The sequence below is a fragment of the Homo sapiens genome, chromosome 2, assembly GCF_000001405.40.
Source record: "Homo sapiens chromosome 2, GRCh38.p14 Primary Assembly".
NCBI lineage: Eukaryota > Metazoa > Chordata > Mammalia > Primates > Hominidae > Homo > Homo sapiens.
Window position 1 is genome coordinate 212,820,109 of NC_000002.12, and position 24,840 is coordinate 212,844,948.

Below are 24,840 nucleotides of genomic sequence, written 5' to 3' on the forward strand. Positions count from 1 at the left end.
CTGAAAAGATGATTTTTGATAGCTTGAATCCAGGTCTTCTTAGGGACTGAATCCTCCTGCACAATCCTGTAAGCCTACATCCCCTCAAGTGTATTCCTTCAAACACTTGTTCTCCAGGATGTAAATAAGTTTACGTGAAAAGAGTATTCTGTGATCAGATCCTTAAATGCTGACACCAGCCCGAAAATAATCTGTTGATAAAGCAAAGCTAATTTTATTGTTTACTGTGCTAAGGGAGATTGTTATTTTGACAGTCTTAGTCACATCTGAATTCGAGAGAAAAAAGTTGCAGGTATTAATAAGATGTAGGGGGTGGTCAGCGGATCCTTCAAAGTGGGAGCTAGACTAGGACTGCAGAAGATTCACAATGTTATTGTTTAGGATTGGTGAACATGGCATGGATATGGTTTCAAAGAGAATTTTTGAAGAGGAAACACTCTTTTCGTGCTATATTGTCCTGAGAAAAGGTATTTTCTCTGATGAAGTTATTGGGGCTCAGAAACTGGTACCCCAGCAGCTTTGACATACTGAACTAAAGAAGCAACCTCAAGGTCTCTTTGACCTTCCCCTACCCCTTCCTGTCTCTCAATCCTCTGTCTCTATCAAAGCACTTGATGAAGCTGGTCTCTGAAGTTCCTTTATCTGCCTGAAGTCCAGACCCACCAAAGAAGAAAACAATTACCTCTGTTCCCTTCCTTGAATTTGCATTAACTTAATTCATATGGCAAGAACAAAGACTAAAAGACCTGGACAGACTTTTGTCCAAACCATTGTCTTCCTTTTTGGTCCACTCAGTATTTCAAAGAGAATCATTTACCAGTCACTGTCTGTTTTGTGGGATCAAAATACTTTGTCCTAGGCCATTGTATCTTCTTCAAATCCATTTATTTTCACCTAAAAATCATTTATTATGTCTCAAATTGCCACACTCACCCCATCTCCCTTTGCCCTATGAAGAAGGGTATATAAGCATCTGTACCCCACTGGGTCATTGGGTAATCATTCTCCTGTGATTTCCTTATGTTATGCACAGTAAAATAAATTTTATATGCTTTTCTCCTATTCACCTACATTTCTAAGTTGATTTTCTGCAAAATTTCAGAGGAAAATAAATTTTTTTCTATGGCCCCTACAATGGTAAATGGAATGTTTAGATAAATAGATTTTCTGTGAGGTCCTGAAATTAACAATAAAGATATTTACAACTTTAGTTTCCTAAGTTTCTTGAATAGTAAAATCATGTAAAACAAGATAAAAAAATAGTAAACTCTTGTTAGTGCAGAGTATAGACAATAAACTTATAGTCTCTTGAACAGACACTTTGTAGCGAAACAAAATGTGCCTTTTCTTTAGGCCTCAGCCATCCTCATGACAGTACCTCCCTAACACCTACCATCTTTCTGGATTCTTCCTTAAACTCTTACCTGAAACCTTTCTGCTTTGTAGTCCAAACTTGAATCCCCATAATCATTTCTATTTCCAGGCCTTTTCTGTTGAAAATCAATCTGATATTTTCCCGTTCCTAGGATTCCAATCAGAATGACAGGATGCCAGCCCTAAGGAGGCAGAAACAATAAAGGATCCTTCCTTCTTAGAGCTGGAAGGGAGTGGAGGTTGACTTCAGTCTCTGAATTTGTATGTTAATATCTGTGTCCTCTCTATAGGTTCAAAAGATCTATCTGATGAAAGAAACAGTGAGGAAACAATTAATATTAGATGGTGGCACAGAATTAAGTTTCAGGATGTTTGTAGCACCAAATAGAGGAAGGTTTTTTTTAAAAAAAAAAAAAAGTATTTTAAGTCTTCTATGAGTGCAAGTAGAAGGAAAGGAAGGGAATGTTCTCTGTTGGGGGCCAATGATATATTGACTAATGACAAGGAAAAAGCAAACCTCTCTTTGGACTGAAAAAAAGACAAGACATGTTGATAAGAGGAAACTGTAGCTTTAGCTGGGGAAGCATAGTTAAACTTCTGGTCCTGAATTATTTCTAAAGGTCTCTAAAGAATCTTCAAATTAAATCATTAAACCAAACATTGCCAGTGACCTTTGAGGGACGATCAAAAACAGTAAAGAGGAATAAAACTGGAGACAGGCAAATACCAGCCAATCTTTGACAAATGGGACAAAGAAAGATTTGGCAAATTAAGACAAGTAAAAGTTACATTGATTTCAGCTAAGATTTTAGAATCGTTTATATAAAGGAATAGGTGTAGAGAACCTAAAGAAGCAATGATCACTAGGAGCCAACAAAGACTTCCATAAACAATATTAGACTCGCCTCATTTCCTTCTGTATTAGTCAAGGTCTAGGCAGGGAACAGATGCACACATAACAAATTAACGTACTAGAGGAGAGTTTAGAAAAGAGAATCCTCATAAAAACATGGGTCAGGGTTAAAGGAAGCTTAGAGGGACAGTAAAGCAACTGGGGAGAACCAGTACCAACCACAGAAGGACTGTCTGCATAATTTGCAGGCACCCCCACCCCACTAAAAAAATGATTAAGAATTTCATGACAGGGATAGCCTAGCATTAAACCAAGCATGAGACCCTATATGATCACACAAGCTGCAAGACTATGCAGCCTGCCCTGGTCTTTAGGTTTGAAGAGGCAAGGAGGAAAATATGTATGGGAACCTGGAGAGGGTTGTAGCTGTATCTTCAGCTGAAGCAGAGTCCATTGGAGGGACATTGTGGACTTCGGTAGAAGAACTAAGCCACTTACACTAAACTACTGATTATCTCTGGCTATGAAGAGAGCAATCTGGGGAAATACATATTTTGATCTCATTCTCCTCATGTCCTCCTGCAATCTCTTGCCAGTGCAGGACAAAGGAATCAAGTTAATGCAGTGCATGGAAGACAGCTTCCAGGGACACAAATCAGGGTGGATAGTGGATTAGGAGAAGCAGGAAGAAGATAACAGACATCATCCTGCACATCTTTGTGAGGTTATGCTGTTAAATCTGTGAAACCAATCTATAAGGAATTCAGAAAGATGTTTGACACAATTTCACAATTTTCCTTTGTATAAGATGGAGAAATATGTACTAGAAGCAAAATAATTATGTGGATCAATAATAGGCTAAACAACTATATCCAAAGTCTACTGAAAACTGGATCAATGTAAAACTGAAGGGAGTTGCATATGTATCTCAATTCCTTTACCCTGTCCTATCTAGCTCAGAATTTTTATTATTGACTTGCAGACATAAAAAGAACATGTATTAAAGCATGGTTTGCAGATTGCTGAGAAGGACATTGTCTAACTGGGATGAAAGAATTAGAATCCAGAAAGATCTTGACAGGCTGTAGCAATGGTATAAAAAGATCTTGCCTAACTGGAACAATAGAATAAATCTAGCAGTAATAAGTCTTGAGAATTGTTCTCAAATTCAAAAAGCCAGAGGCATAAGTTTGGGACAGGGAAGACCATACTTATCAGCTATTAAAATGACTCAGGGAGTTTAGTGGAAGGTAAAGGCAATGTGAATCATGAGCATGGCAGATCCTCCAAAAAAGCGGATTAAGTTTTAGGCAGTATTAATTGAACAAAGGAGGTAATAATCCAAACCTATGTTGTGTTGATCAGACCATACCTGGAAAATTTGGGTTACTTTTGAATGCCATATCTGACTTGCAATGCATTCTGAAAAGAATAACTAGGATTGGAGAAGACACTTATAGACTAGGACCAACCACAAAAGCTGGTGCAGCTTTAATAACTGATGTAAATGACAATGTGAACATGACAGTGTTGAGATTACTGCTCAGTCAGCAAACCAAAGAAGAGCATAGGATATACATGAGATAAAAGAAACATAGAGACTTATGAGTGGAAGAGGCAACTCTTGCTTCCCTAGTTCTTCCCCCTGAAACTTGCAGAGTTAAGAATTCACCAGGACAGATGATCCATAACCAAATCTCACTACCTTTTGGAAGGGAAGGGGGACATTACCCCACAGGAATCAACTTTATCACCATATAAAGAAATTCTTGCTGTGTCATGGTTACATACTTGTGAATTCTCTTTCTTATTCTGTCATTATACCTATTTGTATATAGAGCCATGCAATAACACAGAACAGAAATCATGCCTAGGAAGTAATAATTGAAGAGATCCGGGGCCAGTATAAGAGACTACTCAGGAGAACCATGGCATCCAAATGGTATCCAAATATATTAAATGCTACCACATGGAAGAATAATTATCACTGTCCTCTATTATCTCAAGGAATAAAAAAGGATCCTTAAAAATATCAGAGAGATACTTCATTATGGTCCAACTTTCTGAGGACTAATGGACTGCCATGGAAAGCAGAAAGTTTCCCAAAACCAAGCATAAACAAACATAGTATCATGTCTGAATTACTGCTTAGTTGACATGTTATTTAAGCAATTCAAGCTTTCAATGGGTATTTAAAGTAGTTTTTAAAGATCTCTTCCAATAATGAACTTCCATGGCTCATTCTTTCTTTCATTAAGTAAGTATTTATTAAGAACCAGACATGTACCCAACATCATCCTAAGAACTGAGGATACTGCAACAAACAGAAACAAGCCATTTCCTCATGAAATCTGATGGAATAGGTAGAAAATAAACAAATAATTAATAAAATCTCAAGCAGCAATAAAGATTGTGGAGAAAAATCAAGCAGGGTATGGATCTTGAGTGATGGAGAAAGGGAAGAGACATGAATAGAATGGTCAGAAAAGCCTCTTGGGCCAATGAGCTCATCTGTTTATCATAATCAATTTCTCTAAATTTTCAGTCTGGTAGCTTCCTAAGGCCCTTATTTTTCCTCCTTATGTTAATTACCATCTATGCAGTTTACTCTTTAACTCTTAAACCCAGAATAACTCTAACTTATAAATCCAATAGAACTATTAGTGAAACTAGAACAGTGGTATACTTATTTCCACAATCAAAAAACTAAGTGGGTATCATTCAGTTTAAGATGGCAGAACAAGCACAGTTTTCTATTTTCCTCTTGTTCCTAGTTACTATGAAATCATAGAAAAATAATTTTTAAATAAAAATTGCAGTTTTGGAAAATAAGAGATGATGATGACAATTTGAGAAGATATTAGAAGTAGACAGGGTCTGATCACTGGGGGAAATAGAGCAGGGAAACTATGGCCCCAAATGCCCTAAGTAGAAGAAGTCTGAATATTAAAGGAATTCTCAAAGGTTTTCCACGCTCAGAGTTAATAAGTACAAACAGCAAGAGTAGATTGTGCAAAAATATCAGAGTAATTATTTAGAGAATCATACCTGAAAGGGGAAGACTTCTCCTCTTACTCCTCTCCCTCATGAATATCAAGCAAATGGTGATGGGAGCTGAAATTGTAGACCTAAACATGTAACACCCCTTCACATGACTGCCTGGTCACATACCTGAAGTCTCTCACTCTTCTCACTGCTTCCAGACATGGATAAAGCACCACACAGCTGGATTTACCAAGCTGCTGCTAAAGGGTCTAGATATTATAACCCAGTTATAGAGGAGTTAAATCCCTAATGGACAAATTCTAACCAACGGGAGACAGGATTCAGAAGAGCACCAAGCAGAAAAGTTATCCTCTATTCCTGACTCCCTGGGATGGACTTGCTTGAGACTGATTTTCTCTTTATTCTTTATCTGAAAATATCATACATGAATAAATAAGCACATCTGCTTTGTAAACAACTGTGCTTTGCTGTGGCTTGTTGAGAAATGTGGCTAAAATGATAATATTTCACTGTGAATTGCTTCCTGGTCTTCCCTCCAACATTTCCCATTTCCCTCATTCTCTCACCAATGGGATTACACTTCTCCATCAACATTTAATCCTTGGCTCAGGCTCTTTTTCTAAGGAGTGAGGGCTATTATAAGTTAAATTGTGCCTCACCAAAGGATGTGTTGAAGTCCTAACCTTCAATATCTCAGAATGTGTGACCTTATTGGAAATAGCATCATTATAGATGTAATTAGTGAAGATGAGGTCATACTGGAGTGGGGTTGGCCCTTATCCAATATGACTGGTGTCCTCTTCAGGAAAAAAGAGACAAAAACATACAGGGAGAAAACCATGTTAAGACTGACATAGAAATTGGACTTATGCTGCCATAAACCAAGGAACTCATAGAGCTACCACTTACTGGAAAAAGCAAGGAAGGATCTTCCCCTAGAGATTTCAGAGGAAAGATGGCCTTGACGACACCCACCTTCATTTTGCACTTCTCATCTCTCCAAAAAGGAGATTATACATTTCTGTTGTTTTAAGCCACCCAATTTGTGGTAATTTATTATGATATCCCCAGGAAACTAATACAAGGGGTCAAGCAATTGGCACTAGAAATTGTTCTAGAACACAGACCTTTACAATGGGATTTTGGAGTTGGATGCCCACTTGTTGGAAGGCAAGAGGGACATCATTACTGTGTTAAGTAGGATGCTAATAACCCATGGCACACAATGGTATCACAATTAATCTTAAGGTAAAGCTAAAAGAAGGAGCCCAAGTATCTGTGGTAATCAGTATGGGTACATGATAAATAAAAAGATAATGGAGTAAGGTAGCTACTTTTGATAGGCCTAAATAACTTGTAAAAAGAAAATCATAGGCTCAAAGCAGTTAATTGCTAACAAGGCATGCTCTGATTCCCAGAGGATTGCTATGGCAGCATTAATGGAAACTCAGGACAGACTGTGGTGAAAAATTAAGACTGGAATCCATTTATGGCATTGTTAGAGATGTAAATGAAACTAAATGTACAGTTGCAAGCGTTCTCCCAAGTCATTGTCAGAACCCAGATAGAAAATATGGAGACCATTAGTATCTTGGATAACGACATTTAGGGGGATGAGCATTGTAATCTTGAACCCCTGGATTCTCCTGAGATTTCCTGGCGGATAGAAGCAGCCTCATCCTTCTCACCAGCGAAGAACAGTCTCTGCTTGCCTAGAGACTGTGTAATGATTACACTGAAATTGTAAATTTGCAAGATCTCAGGGCGTGACATTATCATCTCTCACTGCTTCTAGGCCAATAGCCAGATCATGTCTTAACACAACTTGTGCACGGAAGTAAAATCCCAGCTTCCATGCTAAAGGCATTTCATGACCTAGCTAATAAGTATCAGCAGGAATTGGAAGAATGCATATGGGATTGGATCTTGAGTGAGTTAGAGGTAGGAAATGGAGGTTGGAGTTTTGGATGAAAGAATTCATTGACAACTTCCTGACCAAAGACCAAAGGCACTATTTTGCCCTTTCCCATCCTTCCTTGCTTTATTTCCTTTTTCCTTTATTATCATCACAAATATTATTAGATTATTTAAATAACTTGTAGTATATTCCTTCAATGAAGTACTATTCAGCCATTTAAAGGTATGAGCTATACCTGTAAGACATAAGAAACACGGAAAAGCATGTTTCAGTCATCAATACATACTAGCACATCAGATCCTTTTGATAGTACCTGTGTCCAGGCCTTTATCCAATATGACTGGTGTCCTCACGAAAAAAGAGACAGGCTACTAGTTTTACCCAGGTGTTACGGTGACAATTCACTTTCTCAGACCTTACTATACTGTCCACCTTAGGCCCCAGGGCTTTTCTGTTGCTGCTGAGCTATCAGTGGCAGGGGGATCCATTTGGTTCTCACACACTGGTAATCTGGAATCACAGGGGAACTGAATGCCCTGGACGGTGAATGAACTTTTGACATGTGGGAGATTGAGGTAATAGATACACTTTTCTCCCTTCATTTCAGAGATTAACTGTCCTGAGAGGAAACAGTTTACTCAACATCTGGGAAGATGATCCCATGAGATCATGCCGTCAGTTGCAATTGACACCCACAGTAGTCAGCCCAGTAATGTATCCCATCGTATTTGTTCTCTTTTCTTCCCTTATTCCTATTTCTCTGGGATTTACCTGCAAATAAGTGAGCATATCAGCTTTTTCTTTAAGATCTGTTTTCTAGGGTACTTGACTCAAGGTAAATGTTTGTCATATAATGTTACATGAAAAAGTAAGTTACAGAATACTATGGAAAATAATGAATTTTATGTAAAAATATAAAAGCATATACACATTTAATTATTTGTGACATTGTAAAAGAGGACTGGATGGTACACATCTTTGAGAACAGGTAGGAGTAAATAAAAGATTGAATATTTATTTATTCTTCTCTAGAATTTTTAAGGTCATGTATTACATTTGCAATTTTTTTAAATACTGAAAAAAAACTTTAAAAAAATACTGAAAAATACTGAAAAAAATACTGAAAAAATATTTTAAAATATCATAAAGTAAGTTCATATTATGTTATACTTTAAATTGAACATATTGCATATTTTTATATCATTAATAACAAATTTTAGGCATTGGAAATAAACAATTAAAAAATGATAATATTGGAAAATGAGTTAAACAAAGTAAATGTTGACGTGGTTTTCTATTAGCTTTAACATTTACTGGTCCTAAAGTGAAATGTCCTTGTACGTAGAGTGGAATTACAACACAAAACAATGTCTTTTAAGGTTGTATTTATACAACACAAAAAAAAACCCACAAATCTATAAATCAACTGATTTAAAAAAAATCAATATGGATAAACAAGTAGATAAAAACTGTAAAAATTAACTGGTTAAATGACAGTATTTATTCACTGTGCTCTCAAGACAGACCTCTTTATCTTTGCAAAAAAAAAATAGCTCCTTAAGAGAAATTAAAATTGGTTTCTTCCCTTTAATCATATTGAAGTTTCAACTTCAATATTATAATAGTATTCTAATAAATATAATGCTTCTTTAGCCATACATGTTCATTTTTAAGATGTAGTATGAGGCTGGACACGATGGCGCATGTGTGTAATCCCAGCACTTTGGGAGGCTGAGGCGGGCAGATCACCTAAGGTCAGGAGTTCAAGACCAGCCTGGCCAACATGGCAAAACCCTACCACTACTAAAAATACAAAAAATAGCCGGGCATGGTGGTGGGCACCTGTAGTCTCAGCGACTCAGGAGGCTGAGGCAGGAGAATCGCTTGAACCTGGGAGGCGGAAGCTGCAGCGAGCTGAGATAGTGCCACTGTACTCCAGCCTGGGTGACAGAGCAAGACTCCATATCAAAAAAAAAAAAAAAAAAAAAAAAGATGTAGTATGAGGCTTCTATATCACCATAACTTGGATTTAAAACATTTTTCTTCATTTTATCCTGAAAGTGAGAAAATCTCCCCAAGAGAGGGTAGCATGTCCATGAAGGTAGTCTGAACAAAAGGTGATTGTGTAGGTTATTACAAACTGACTTGTTTTATTCAGTTATTACCTTTAAAATGCAACATACAAATAAATCATTTTGTTTTCACAAAATAATATAAAATTTCAGATAATTCTTACATACACTAGTGAATAATTTCAACTTTCTTTCTTGGCAATAAGGACAAACAATTGATTTTAGGGGCCAAAAAGTAGTCGTTAAACCAATATAAATCGTGCTTTCGTTTGTAGTGAAGGCAAAAGGCTTTGACGCTCCCACTAATTAGAAATATGTAAAATATGAGAAGAAATTACCAAACCAATTCATTTATATCCAGTAATATATATAGATGTATAAAATAGGTAAGGATGGAAGCATATAAAGTCCCCTTAATGTATAGATAAGTACAATTCTTGATAATGGTCTATTTATGAATTTTATGGTTTTCATGAATTTATACTGTCAACCTAAATACAAAACACAGAAGGAGATTGTGCAAAAGAAAATTATGTTTATTCAGAAATAGGTATTTCAGTGAAAACGTACGTGCCATAGCAACTATGTGAGTATTCAGGAAAGTAAAGGAAGACAGAGGTTTTTAAAGGAAAAATGAGGATTGTGTCACTGTTTTTAGATAATTATTCTGGCTACAAGGATCAGTAACAACAAAGGTGGTGCCAGTCCAAGGTTGGACAGGCAGTTGCTGGGCAGATGTTCTACAGAGGTGTAAGATTGTAAGGTTGTGATGGCCTTTGTTCAAGATTGTGGTTTTTGTGGACACTTTTGTGATACTTCTTATGAGGCATTTATGCATGAGAATTCTCCCTTCATGGCTTTCCTTACCTCTATTTGTCAGAGATTTTTAACACAAGTGACTGCATTTTGATTTTGACAATTTTCACAATGTTTAGGTCATAACTAAAAATTACAATAACTGGCTCCAAAATTAGCTGTTTCACACAAAGGTGTTAACTGATAAATAGGACAATAATAAGGAATATTTTAAAAGGTGATTGTTTATTAACCTCTGTTAAAAACAGGTTCAAGAATTTTGCACTCAGAACCAAGGATGGAGAGAAAGAAGTCCAGATTTATTCAGCAGAAAGCTCATATTCCTAAATGAGGATGAAGAGGCTAGGGTTACACAGGCTAGAAGCTCACATCCATACCGAAAGATGAAGGAGACCTGCGTTACACAGCTTGACACTTAAATGCCCATATCCAAGGAAGAAGGAAACCAGGGTTCATACAACCAGGAAAGTCATATTCATCTCCATATAGAAAAGGATTCCAGGGTTTACAAATCCAGGACATGCATATCTACATCTCAGAAACAAAGAAATTAGCCACTAAATTCATTACTAGTGGGAATATAAAATGGTACAACCACTCTGGAGAAGAGTCTGGGCATTTCCTAAAGCCCTAGATAAATACATAACCATTATACCACCCAGCAACTGCAGTTTGGGGTTTATCCTGGAGAAATGAAAACCTAGGTTTGTAGAAAAACCTGCCCAGGAATGCTCGTAACAATGTGATGTGTAATAGCCCCAAAGTGGAAACAACCCTACAGTCCTTTCAACAGGTGATTGGTTAAACCGACTATGGTACATCCATACCATCGAATAGTACTCAGCAATAAAAAGGGAACAAAGTATTGACACCTTGGTACCACTGGAAACTCACTTCCTAGTACAGAAAACAGGTGGTCAGGGTTTACAAAGTAAACACACTGAACGAATTTGCAGAGAACAATGCTGCAGGGGGAAAAAGCCAGTCCCCTAAGCTTACATATTACGCCATTCCATTTAAATAGAATTCTTGAAATGGCAACATTCTGTAAGTGGGGAACAGCTTAGTGGTTGCCAGGCATCAGGGCAATGGAGAGGGAAGAAGGTGGTTGGCACTGGAAGGACAATGGGAGGCATCCTTGTGCAGAGGAAAGGGTCTGTATGTTGAGTGCGCCGAGGTACTACAGCTGTCCAAGATGCCACCGGTGGGGGAAATAGGTAAAGGGTACACTGCGATCTTTGTATTATTTGTTATAAGTGCAGGTGAATCCTCCGTGAGCTGGTAAAAAAGATTTTAACTAAAATAGAGTTGAACCCTCCAGCACAGACTGACCTGAGTATTCTATCAGTACAGGTTGACCTGAGTATTCTGCCAACAGACTGACCTAGCAGGTCAGTCCCCAGGCCGGGCTCTACCCCTGGGAATGGCACCCCTCCTCCAGAGGAAGCATTTCCCAAATGCCCCAGGATAGGAGTTGGCGCGGAAGGAGAGCCAAGCCGGCGATGAAGACATTCTCCGCTGGACACAGGAACGCCAAGAGCCAACGCTAAGAAGCGGCCTCCACACTGGACGGCGGCCTCCATTAGCCAGCTGCTGCTGGTAAAACAAAGAGAAGGCCGTGGGCAGGCGGCGCTGAGTGCAGACTAAACGCAGTCCGCGGCGGCGGTACCTGAAAGCCAGCACAGATCCACCCAAATGGAGCCCTCGCCTCCCCACAGCTAGCGGGGCGCTCCCGCGGGGGTTCCGCGCCTCCCCTCCGCCAGGTGGAGCCAGTACTCGCAAGGGGGCGTCCGCGGTTCAGAGGTCACATACCGGCTGAAGTAAACCGCGCTCAGGCGGCCTTCAGGGGCGCGACCCCAGCGTCTTTCCTCGGCCCAAGCCCCGGCGCCGAGCAGAGACGACCTTAGCGGTCCTACACCTAGCGGTCCTGCAGGTCCCTGAATCCTCTTTGGATCAGCGCTGAGGAAAGGCGGGAGTGCGGCCGCGCGCCCTGCCTCCGCCGCCATGGCCCAGCTGCGAGCCTGCGAAGTCCGGCAGCTGCTGCACAACAAGTTCGTGGTGGTCATGGGGGACTCGGTCCAGCTGGCCGTGTACAAGGACCTGGTGCTCCTGCTTCAGAAGGACTGCCTGCTGTCCTCCAGTCAGCTGAAGGCCAAGGGCGAACTGAGCTTCGAGCGCGACATGCTGCTGGTGGGCTGCAGCAGTGGCCGCATGCACTACGACCGCCACTACCGCGAGGTGCGCCAGTTCCGCTCGGGCCACCACCTGGTGCGCTTCTACTTCCTCACGCGCGTGTATTCGCACTACGCGGAGCGCGTCGTGGAGGAGCTGCGTAGGGCCGAGCCCGCCCCGGACGTGGTGGTCATGAACTCCTGCCTCTGGGACCTCGCCAGGGATGGCCGGGGCTTCCCCAGGAGCTACCGGCGTGACGTGGAGAGCCTGTTCGTGCGGTTGGACTGGGCGCTGCCCACGTCCTGCCTTCTGTTGTGGAACACGGCCATGCCCGTGGCCGAGACCATCTCGGGAAGCTGCCTCCCATGCGCGCGCCAGCTCCGCCGCGCCCGCCTGCGCGAAGACGTGATGGAGGCCAACTTCTACAGCTCCGCCGAGGCGGCGAGGCGCGGCTTTGACGTGCTGGACCTGCATTTCCACTTCCGCCACGCCACGCGGCACCGGCTCCCCGACGGCGTGCACTGGGACGAGCGCGCGCACCGCCACCTTTCCCAGCTGCTGCTGGCCCACCTGGCAGACGCCTGGGGCGTGGACCTGCCCCGCCGCGAAGCCGTGGACGGGTGGCTCAGGCATGACCACGCCAACAGACGTGCAGCCCCGGCGGGCAGAAGGCAGCCCCGAGACGACCGACCGGACCCACACGGCCGAGGGGACCGAGCGGGCCGAGGAGACCTCCGTGCCCCTCGATCGCTCGCTTCGTTCTTCTGGGCTCGACCGCCTTTCCCTCCCCGCCGTCAGGTCGCCTTTCTGTCCTCTGACCGGCATTTCTCCAGCGACTCCTCCACGCGCCACATCCGACACAGCGGCGAAGAAAACGCCAGGGTTGGCCGCGAGTCGCGGCCGTTCCCCATCCGCACAAGCTCTGCTCTGCGCCGAGAGAGGAGGCATTCCCCTTACCTTCCGTGGCGCCCCAGCGAGCCACCCCTAAGCCAGCGAAGCCGCACACGCACACACAGAGGGGTCCCGAGAACACCCAGGACTCAGTAGTAGCCAGACCTGGGAGAACGTCCTGTCTTCCCCAGCATGGTCAATGGGCTGCCTGACCACTATCACACGGGCCTGGCCTTCAGCAGCTCTTCCGAGGTGGGGGTATTTTTACGCTTCCTACTCCAATCAGTGAACCGCTTTCCACATCACTCGTCTTTGCCAGAGCTTCCACGCCACTTTTTGGGAAGGGAGCAGGGACCCAGACCACCAGGCCGTTCTCCTCTAAGCATTTAGGGAGAAATGAAGTCTACATAAAAGTGCTCCCCGCCTTAAAAAAAAAAAAAAAAAAAAAAAGCAGCCATACCCGAATGTAAGTCTTCAGGCAGTATTTTCCATTGACATTATTCCAAAAAAAGGTAAAAATTTTGATCCTTAGAACTTAAACGTTTCAATTAAGATTTCCATTTCACCGTTCGTTTTTGAGTATGTTCATAGAACCTGATATCTAAAGCTTTCACCTAAGTTGTCTTACATATTCTTTACATTTCTCTGTGCTTCAACATAGCATTTGTCCTAAAAAAATTCCATTCACTAATGCAAGGTTGTTTATTTTCTGTTAGAAACATAATCTTTAAAGTTCATCGAATGCCTAGCACATTTTTAAAAATAGACTTTTTACTTTTTTTTTTTTTTAAGATAGGGTCTCACTCTGTTGCCCAGGCTGGAGTGCACTGGCTCAAGCGATCCTGTTGCCTCAGCCCCTCAAGTAAGTGGGACCACAGGCGTGCACTACCATGCCTGGCTAACTTTTTAAATTTTTTGTAGAGATGGGGTCTCGCCATATTGCCCAGGCTGTCGTCAAAGTCCTGGACTCAAGCAGTCCTCCTGCTTAAGCCTCCCACACTGTTGGGAATGCCTGGCCTCCCACAGCAGGGCACCTGACCTAGAATTTAATTTTTAGAGCAATTTTAGGTTCACAGCAAAATTGAGTGGACAGTACAGGGAGTTTCCGTATACTTTTTTGATTTCACACAGGCAAAGCCTCCCCCACTATCAATATCCCACATCAAATGGTACATTTGTTATCTTTGATGAAGCTACGTTAACACATCATTATCACCCCAACACCATAGTTCATTAGAGTTCATTCTTGATGTTCTCCATTCTATGGGTTTTGACAAATGTATAATGGCATGTATCGTCCATCATTATAGTATCATACAGAATAGTTCCACTGTCTTGAAAATCCTCTCTGCTCTGTCTCTGCATCCTTCCTGGAAACCATGGATCTATAACTGTCTCTATAGTTTTGTTTTTCCCAAAATGCTATATAGTTAGACATACAATATGTAGCCTTTTCAGATTGAGCTCTTCTGATTAGGAATTTAAGTTCCCAACATGTCTTTTCATGGCTTGAGAACTCATTTATGTTTTTTTATTTTTAATTTTTGTGAGTATATATTTATGGGGTACATGAGATGTTTTTATACAGGCACGCAATGTGAAATAATCACATCATGGAGAATGGGGGTATCCATCCCTTTATGCATTTATGCTTTGTGTTACAAACAATCCAGTTACACTCTTTTGGTTATTGTAAAGTGTACAATTGTTATTATTGACTGTAGTCACCCTGATATGCTATCAAATAGTAGGTATTATTCATTCTTTCTGTTTTTTTTGTACCCAATAACTCATTTATTTTTAGGGCTGAATAATATTCCATTGTCTGGATGTACCACTGTTTATCTATTCACCTACTGAAGGACATTATGGTTGTTTCCAAGTTTTGGCAATTATAAATAAAACTGTTATGAACATTTGTGTGCAGGTTTTTTGTAAATAAAATATAATTTGAATAATTATCAAGGAATATAACTGCTGGATCATGTGGTAAGAGTATGTTTAGTTTTGTAAGAAGCTGCCAGCCTGTCTTTCAATGTGGCTATACCATATTGCATTCCCATCCACATCCTTGGAATCATTTGCTGTTATCAGTGTTTTGGAGTTTTTCTGAAAAGTATAAGGTAGTGTCTAGATTTATGTATTTATTTTTGCATGCAGATTATTTTTGCATGCAGATGTCCAGTTGCTTCAGCACTGTTTGTTGAAAAGACTGTCTTTTCTCCATTATGTTGCCTTTGCTCCTTTGTCAAAGATCAGTTGACTATATTTGTGGCTATCTATTTCTGTGTTCACTATTCCGTTCTATTGACCTGTCTGTTCTTTTGCCAATACTGCACTATCTTGATTACTGGAAGTTTATAGTAAGGCATGAAGTCAAGTAGTGTCAGTACTCTGACTTAGTTTTCCTTCAATATTGTGTTGGCTACTCTGGGTCTTTTGCCTCCCCATGTAAATGTTAGTATCAATCTGTCAATGTTCACAGAGAGTTTGCTGCAAGTTCCCTTGAGATTACATTGAATCTATAGATGAAGTTAGGAAGAACTAACATATTGACAATATTGTCTTTGAGATCTCTCAAGATTTCTTCTTTGATCCAAGTGTTATTTACAAGTGTGTTGTTTAATCTCCCAGTACTTGGGGATCTTCAAACTACCTTTCTGTTACTGGTATCTAGTTTAATTTTACTGAGGGATTTGAGAGCAGACATTGTATGATTTTTATTTTTAAATTTGTTGAGGTGTGTTTTATGGCCAAGAATGTGGTCTGTCTTGGTGAATGTTCCATGTGAGCTTGAGAAGAATGTGTCGTCTGCTGTTGTTGGATGAAGTATTTTATAGATGCCATTTATATCCAGTTGATTGATAGTGCTGTTGAGTTCAACTATGTCTTTACTGATTTTCTGGCTGCTGAATCTGTCCATTACTGATAAGTGTTGAAGTTTCCAACTATAATAGTGTATTCCTCTATTTCTCCTTGGAGTTTTATAAGTTTGTGCCTCGTGTATTTTAATGCTCTGTTGTTCGGTGCATACGCTTTAAGGATTGTTCTGTCTTCTTGAAGAATTGACTCCTTTTATCATTATGTAAAGTCCGTCTTTATCTGTGATAACATTCCTTGCTTTGAAGTCTGCTGTATCTAAAATTAATGTAGCTACTGAGTTTTCTTTTGATTCGAGTTATTATATCTTTCTCCATCCCTTTATGTTTAATCTTGATATGTCTTTATATTTAAAGTGCGTTTCTTGTAGACAATATATAGTTGGGTCTTTTGATCCACTCTGACAATCTCTTTTTGTGTTAATGACAATTGATGTTTAATTATTGATATTGTTGGATTAATATCTTCCATATTACTGCATTCTATTCATTGTTTTTTATTCTTCCACTCTTCTGTGGTTTAACTGAGCATTTTGTGTGGTTCCATTTTTTTTCTCCTTAGCATATCACCTATAGTATACTTATTTATTTACTTACTTTTTTTTAGTGGTTGCTCTGGCATTTTCAATATACATTTGCATCTAATCCAAATCTACTTTTGAATAACACTATACTGCCTCATGGATAGTGCAAGGTTATCCATAAGTTACAATCACTAAATACATTATTGCCATTATTTTTATTTATTTATTTATTTATTTGAGACGGAGTCTCACTCTGTAGCCCAGGCTGGAGTGCAGTGGTGCGATCTCAGCTCACTGCAACCTCTGCCTCCTGGGTTCACGCCATTCTTCTGCCTCAGCCTCCTGAGTAGCTGGGATTACAGGCGCCCGCCACCACGCCCCACTAATTTTTTGTATTTTTAGTAGATCTGGGGTTTCACTGTGTTAGCCAGGATGGTCTCAATCTCCTGACCTCGTGATCCGCCCACCTTGGCCTCCCAAAGTGCTGGGATTACAGGCGTGAGCCACTGTGCCCAGCCTGCTATTATTATTTTTAACAAACTGTTGTATATTCAACCAATTAAGTAGAGAAAAATAAGTTCTTTTTTGTTTACCTTCACTTATTCCTTCTCTGATGCTCTTCTTTATGTGAAGCAAAATTTCTGACCTATATTATTATCCTCTCTGAAAAACTTCTTTTAACATTTTTTGCAAGGCAGGTTTACTGGCAACAAATTTTCTCCTATTTTTGTTTGTTTGGGAAGGTCTTAATAGGCATACCTCAGAGATACTGTGGGTTTGGTTCCAGACCACCACAATAAAGCGAATGTCTCAAAGCAAGTCATGGATTTTTTGGTTTCTCAGTGCATACAAAAGTTAGATTTACACGCTACTATAGTCCAGTAAGTGTGCAACAGAAGTAAGTCTAAAGAACCCAATGGACATAAGTTAATTTAAAAATTTTTATTGCCAAAAAATGCTAGCTATCATCCGAGCCTTTAGCAAGTTGTAATCTTTTTGTTGGTGGAAGGTCTTGCCTCCATATTGATGGCTACTGACTGATCAGGGTAGTAGTTGCTGAAGGTTGAGGTGGCTGTGTCAGTTTCTTAAAATATAACGTTGAAGTTGCTGTATCAATTGACTCTTTGTTTCACAAAATATTTATCTGTAGCATGCAGTGCTGTTTGACAGCATTTTACTCACAGTAGAACTTCTTTCAAAATTGAATCAATACTCTCAGACCCTGCATACTGCTTTATAAACTAAGTTTATGTAAAATTTTAGATCTTTTATTGTCATTTCAGCAATGTTCAGAGCATCTTCACCGGAGAAGTTTCCATCTCAGGAAACTATTTTCTGTGCTCATTTATAAGAACCAACTCCTCATTCGTTCAAGTTTTATCATGAGATTATAGCAATGTAGTCTCATCTTTAGGCTCCACTTCTAATTCTAGTTCCCTTGCTATTTCGACCACATCTGCAGTTGCTTCCTCCACTAAAGTTTTAAACCCCTCAAAGTCATCGATAAGGGTTAGAATCAGCTTCTTCTAGACCTCTGTTAATGTTGATATTTTGACATCTTCCCATGAATAAAGAATGTTCTTAATGGGCATCAAAAGTGAATTCTTTCCAGAACATTTTCAATTTATTTTGCCCAGATCCATCAGAGGAATCACTATGTATGGCAGCTCTAGCTTTATGAAATGTATTTCTTAAATAATAATTAAAAGTTGAAATTGCTTCTTGATCCATGAGCTGCAGAATGGATGTTATGTTAGCTGTCATGAAAACAACATTAATCTGTTTATATATCTTCATTGTAGCTTTTGGATGATCAGGTGCATTGTCAATGAGCAGTAATATTTTGACAGGAATCTTTTTTTTTGGAGCAATAGGTCTCATCAGTGGGCTTAAAATATATATTAAGAAAACCATGCTGTAAACAGATGTGCTGTCATCCAGGTTTTGTTGTTCCATTTACAGAACACAGACAGAGTAAATTTAGCATAATTCTTAAGGGTTCTAGGATTTTCAGAATGGTAATCATTGGCTTCAACTTCAAGCCACCAGCATTAGTCCCTAACAAGAGATTCTCCCGTCCTTTGTAGGCTTGAAGCCAGACATTGACTTCTCTAGCTATGAAAATCCTAGATGGCATCTTCCAATATAAGGCTCTTACCTCTACAATGGAAATCTGTTGTTTAATATGTCCACCTTCATCATTGTCTTTGCTAGATCCACTAGCTTTCTCCTTTTCTTCTGCAGCTTCCTCACCTCTCTTGGCCTTCAAAAAATTGAAGAGAGTTACAGCCTTGCTCTGGATCGGGCTTTGGCTTAATGGAATGTTGTAGCTGGTTTGATCTTCTATCCAGATCACTTAGACTTTCTCCATATTTGCAATAAGGCTCTTTTGCTTTCTTATCATTCATGTGTTCACTGGAGTAGCGCTTTTTATTTTCTTCAAGAACTTTTGCATTCACAACTTGGCTAAACTGTTTAACACAAGAGGCCTATCTTCCAACTTATCTCGCATTTTGACCTGCCTTTCTCACTGTTTAATTATTTCTAACTTTTGATTTTAAGTGAGAGACCTGCAACTCTTCCTTCTACTTGAACACTTAGAGGCTATCATAGGGTTATTAATTGGCCTAATTTAAATATTGTTGTGCTTCAGAGAAAATGGAGGCCTGAGACGAGGCAGAGGGATGGGGGAATGGCGAGTCAGTGGAGCAGGCAGAGCACACACGACATTTATCAGTTAAGCTTGCCCTCTTATATAAGTGCAGTTCATGGCATCACAAAACAATTACAGTAGTAAAATCAAAGATTGCTGACCATAAATCACCATAACAGATATAATAATAATAATAAAAGTATGAATTATTGTGAGAATCACCAATATATCACACAGAGACACAAATTGAGCACATGTTGGGAAAATACCATGGATAGACTTGCTCAATGCAGGATTGCCACAAACCTTTAATTTGTAAGAATCATAATATCTGCAAAGTGCTATAAAGTGAAGCATAATACAGTCAGCTATATCTGTACTTCTCCTTCACTTTGAAGAATAAAAGATACAAAATTCTAGGTTGGTATTTTTTTTCCTTTTTTCTGAACATTTTAAATATATCACTCCACTCTCTGCTTTTTAGTTGTGGAAGTTTCTATGGACATATCCTCAAGCTCATTAATTCTTTCCTCAGATATGTCTAATGTACTAACCACACCATCAAAGGCATTCTTCATTTCTGTTACAGTGTTATTGGCTTCTACAATTCTTTTTGATTCTTAGAATTCCATCTCTCTGCTGAATTACCTAATCTGTTCTTGAGTGTTGTCTACCTTTTTCTATTAGAAGCTGTAGCATATTAATAATAGTTGTTTTAAATTACTGGTTTGATAATTTCAAAATCCCTGCTATATCTGAGTCTGGTTCTGAGCTTGTTCTGTCTCTGCAAACTGTGTTTTTTTTTTTTTTCCTTTTATTATGCCTTGTAGTTTTTTGTTGAAAGCGGGACATGATGTACTAGGTAAAAGGAACTGTAGTAAATAATCTTTTAGTTATATGGTAGTAAGGTATGGTGGGAGGAGAAGCATACTATAGTCCTGTGATTAGGTCTCAGTCATATAATGAGGCTGTATTGCTGGGCTGTAATCTTCACAAGTGCTTCTAAGTTTTGCCCCCACTTAGTGGGACAGGATGGCTTAGAGGGGGCTGGAGTTGGGTACTTCCCTTCTTTGATGTCAGTTAGGTGCTGATAAAACCCCAGTAGATTAGGTTCCAGCAAAATAGTTTCTCTTGAGGGCAGCATGTGTTAGGAATAACAGAATTATCTGAGCATATTTCACAATGGCTGCTTTTTCCCTCTCCATGCAGAAAGGATAGGGAATATTTCTTTCCTTTTTACTGTGAGAACCTGGTAGAGCTCCTGAAAGTAGAACCTAGAAAACATGGGGCTCACCTAAAACTGGGCTCTCCTGGAGTTTTTAGCATTCAGGTTTGTTCATACTGAGCCTTCAGCAATTAGCCAATTACAGTTTAAGTTTTCCTCTCTTGACCCAGCTCCCACAAGGTTTATTCTCCTTTAAGTTGTGCTTCTCTGTATTTGCCAGTCTGTTCCCAATTCGGGGGATAATGGTTTGCCCTGTGTTCTCAATTCTCTGAGGGATCTAAGATTTGTTGCCTTTCAGTTTATTCAGTATTTTAACTGTTAGAATGGAGTGATGACTTCCAAGCTTCTTACGTGCTGAACCAAAACTGGAACTCCCGTCTAGCACGTTTTGAAGTGGCCCAGAGAACTGAAACACATTGCACTGTAAGCTACAGCTCCCACTAAACAATTTTTATTGTCTATTTTTATTCCTTAACATTATCTACTCTTTATAGTTTATGCTTTTTAAAAAACTTTTGGTTAAGAAATTGGTCTACTTTCCCATCAACTATCTTTGGTTAGAACTTTACATTGACTACCCCTTCTGGTAATACTGCCCCCCATATGACAAATCAAAGTATGGGTTTACTCCAGGCTGCCCTGACTCTCTGTCTTTGCATCCTTTCCCCAGCTATAGTGTGGCATATTCCTGGGGTAGAAGCCCTTCTGCCAGGCTGCATGCTGCAGGAGGTACATGCAAAGTAAACAAGACAAAATGAACATCATCACACATTCAGCTTCATTACATGAACGGGAAATTGAAAGCAACATTTCCATCACATTTTCTCAATAATCAATGCCATGGAATTTTAATAATGAAAGATAGAGATTAGTACATTGTGATGTAGAGTGTTTTCAGGGAACTAGGATATTGCCTGAAAATAAATAGCATTGAACATTTCCTCACTGTTAAGTTTATGCTAGGTCCTCTTATGTCTCGCTTATCATAATTCTCTGAAGCAGGTTCCTTTGAAAAAGGCTCCATTCTTATCCCATCCTTTGTTACACTCTCTCCATGTTTTCATAGACCGTAAACTCGCTAATGCATACACATGGCAGGGACCAAGTCTCATCTCAGTGCATCTTGTGTCACGGTGTACCCATCAATCCACTGTGCACTGAAAAAAGACTACAGCCCTACAACCTCTTTACTCGGGTTTTGTGCATGCTGCTTAATTTCACTGCATCTGTCAAGCCGTTCTTTATCGAAGAGTCTAACAGCCTTTGAGTGCACGGTGCTCTATCACTTATGTAGGGGTTATATTGATCTTTCTGGTGTGTGCTCTAAAGTGGCTGGCATCAAAAGCCAGTGAGGCAGCCAGTTTGAGCAGTATGGGCCATTTACAAACTTCAGGATGAGATGTTGCAGGATGCCAGGGAAAACATTTTTGTTTTTCCAGAGGGAACCATAGTTCATGAAATGTGGTTAATGTACCATGTTTGTATACCCTTAAAATCATTTTATAACCACACTGAGTGCCTCTAAACATTAAATATATTTTATAAGTAGTTGGTTAACTAGCTGTTGTATGCTTTAAATAGTAAATAAAATGGAAAGGCACTAAACAGTGACTATATTTCATAGAGTAAGATGCTTTTCCAGCCACTCAATAATTCTCAATGTTAAGAAAAATTGATTTTAGAGGCTGAGTGCCTCTAAAAATTAGCATCTTATCTTCCTACAGGGGATGATATTCAGTTAGTCTCCTTTCTTCCAGCTTTTGACTTAATGGTCTCTAAGGGTCCCTCCTTTCTGAAAAATTCTGTAGGTTATGTTGGATTATAATTTGGGCATATATGTAATTAACTGGGCAAAATATAAATCAGGAAGCAGTTCCATCTTGGCTTTTTTTGAATCTTAATTGCAAAAGAACTAGCTCTTCACACACTAACCATTCCATAACTCCCATCTCTTCTCTCTCCACCAAAGACTGCATAGAGTCCAAGCACTGCATAGAGACACCTATAGCAAATTAAATCATTTTCCTAATTCTTTAGCAACTCTGGCCTTTAAGGAAGTCATATTGCCAATATTGAGACTTTTAAGATAAATAGAGTAATAGCTGACAGCATCACAAAAGTTGAGAACTGAAGTACTCAGATACTCCACAGTTATGGAAAACTGTGTTAAAAGAAGATGCAACTCTTAGTCCTGCCTAAACCACAACCAGCTGGGTGACCCTTGAGATGTCACAGGGCATCCTTGAGTAATCTGTTATAACCTCGGTAATGTAACTCATCAGTCAAATGCATAGTTTGAGCTAGATTCCAGAACCTGGCAGCAGGATAATCTCCATGGGTTCCTTTTAGATCTAATAATTTATAAATTACTTCTAGCTGTTTATCTCATTCTGAAGAACCATGTGTCTCAAGTGTTCTCAACAGTTCCACAGCAGTGGGTGGCTGGCATGTTGAAGCCTGAGGAAGAACAGATAAGCATCAAACTTCCTGGGTACATATGCTTATACTTAGAAAGAATGCAAAGAGTGAACAAAATTCTTCTCAGATACACCCTCAAAATTCCCACTGATGTCATTAGGAACTATGTGGGATTAGATGAGTATGCGTTGCTGATTTGAGTCAAATCCAGCAGTGAGCTGGCACTGATTTTTCCAGGTTAGAATGATGTTGCTTCCTGGTTCACAGACTTGAGAAAGATGTGGCAAAAAGCAAAACCCCAGGATACTATAGATTATAATTTGGGCACATATGTAATTAATTGGGCAAAGATCTCTGAGGTGGCGGTATTGCATCAATTGCCATTGTATCCCTAGCATCCAATCAATAGCAGTTGATCAGTGAACATCTGTGGAGCTAAACTGAATCCCATAAACAAATGCAGCATAGCAGACAAAAAATGTAAACTGTCTAAAATGAAAATCCAAGAAGGCTGAGGCAGCACTCAAAATGAGCCCTCTAGTCAATAGTGTTATAACAGAAATGCCACGAAAATCATAATCTCCCAAAAAAGGAATCATTTCGCTGATTGGATTCAATCCAGAATTTGCTTTTCCAGCCAAAAAGCAGAGTAGGGTCCCACCCTTCCTCCCAACACAAATACATCCTCAAATACAGAGAAGTAAGGCAAAGGACACAGACAATGTCACCTTACTACTGAAGTAAACAATAGTAATTAACAATAGATGGCTTACCTTGTGCCAGCTACTCTTCCAAAAGCTCTATGGGTATTATCTAATTTAAATCTCACTACAGTCCTCTTAGGTAGACATTGTTATTGCCATTTTATATTATAGTTAAGGAAAAACATGCACCAGTGTTTTGAAAAACCTCAAAGTCTGGGCAATTTAGAAGACAGATGACTGACTCTGTAGCAATAGTCACTATAGATAGCTCTGTATTTAAAATCTGAACTTCTAGTGGTCTACCACTATACAAATAAAAATATTCTCCAATTAATGTAAAACTCCATGATGTGAGAAAGCATTATAGAAAAGAACAATATGAAACACAGGAAATGAGTCAGCAAACCAGAAGTCCAAAATGATGTGGCCAGGAAAAGAAACAATTACCATAGCCACAGTTGGAGAAAGATTTTATCTGTCCCATTGGGTATGATCTCACTATGTATAATCCCAGTGATTAGGATATGTGTATATTCGTAACTTTTGATGCACTAGAGAATTAAATAGGCCAATAATTTTGTATACAAAAGGGCATTTTTTTTCCATGGCTAGCCCTAGGCAAAATTGTAGACTATGATGGAGTAATGGGCTTATATATCAGATCTGGATATGAATTATGACTTTTACCAACTGGTCACAAGTCCCATGGCTGTCCTGACAGAGGTCCAGGACCCCTTCCTGAACAGCAACCATGGTAGCTCACTAGTATTTAATTTTTCCTCTTAACTGTGGAATGCAACCTCATGTTAATAAGACTTAGATAAAATAGGTGAGTAAACAGAGAGTAGACCCAACTTTTGAACGCCTCAGTGGTTATATCTACTTCTCCTATGTAGAAGACTAACCCTGATTATTAACTTATTCGATGTTTAGTCAACAGATGTTTGTTGAAACATACAATGTGTCAGAAACTGACTAGTATCTGGGGATAAATCTAGTGAGAAAGGTCTCTACAAACATTGCTAACAAGGGAGACTAACAAATATAGTGAAGCACTAATAAGTGCTAGGAGAAACGTAAAGGAGGCAGTGTGGCTTGGCAAGGAGTATGGTGATATCAGATATCAGATGATCATGAAAGGCACTGCGGAAATTACATTTAGCACAGAGCTGAAGGAGGTGAAGGACCAAGTCATGAAGATACTTAGGGAAAAGGGTGAAACCCTGATGTTTCAAGGTAGATGTATGTTGTCATATTCAATGAGTTTTAAGTAGCAGAAGGGTCAAGCTGGGAAAGGGTAGCTGGTTAGCTCAGATCAATCAGGTTTCATCCTTA

The 24,840-nt window shown here is 39.7% G+C and overlaps 1 pseudogene, besides 2 other annotated features; it reads left to right on the top strand.

Moving 5' to 3' along the window:
- On the top strand, positions 12,053-12,817 carry PCED1CP (PC-esterase domain containing 1C, pseudogene; annotated as a pseudogene).
- Positions 23,324-24,523: an enhancer, noted in NCBI's record as "MED14-independent group 3 enhancer chr2:213708156-213709355 (GRCh37/hg19 assembly coordinates)". NCBI's record gives its function as "activates an origin of replication core promoter dependent on BRD2, BRD4, P300/CBP and CDK7 cofactors, and independent of MED14, by STARR-seq in HCT116 cells {active_cell/tissue: HCT116}" and the evidence as "EXISTENCE:reporter gene assay evidence [ECO:0000049][PMID:35650434]".
- Positions 23,757-24,051: an enhancer, noted in NCBI's record as "tiled region #6440; K562 Activating non-DNase unmatched - State 24:Quies". NCBI's record gives its function as "activates a minimal TATA promoter and a strong SV40 promoter by Sharpr-MPRA in K562 cells {active_cell/tissue: K562}" and the evidence as "EXISTENCE:reporter gene assay evidence [ECO:0000049][PMID:27701403]".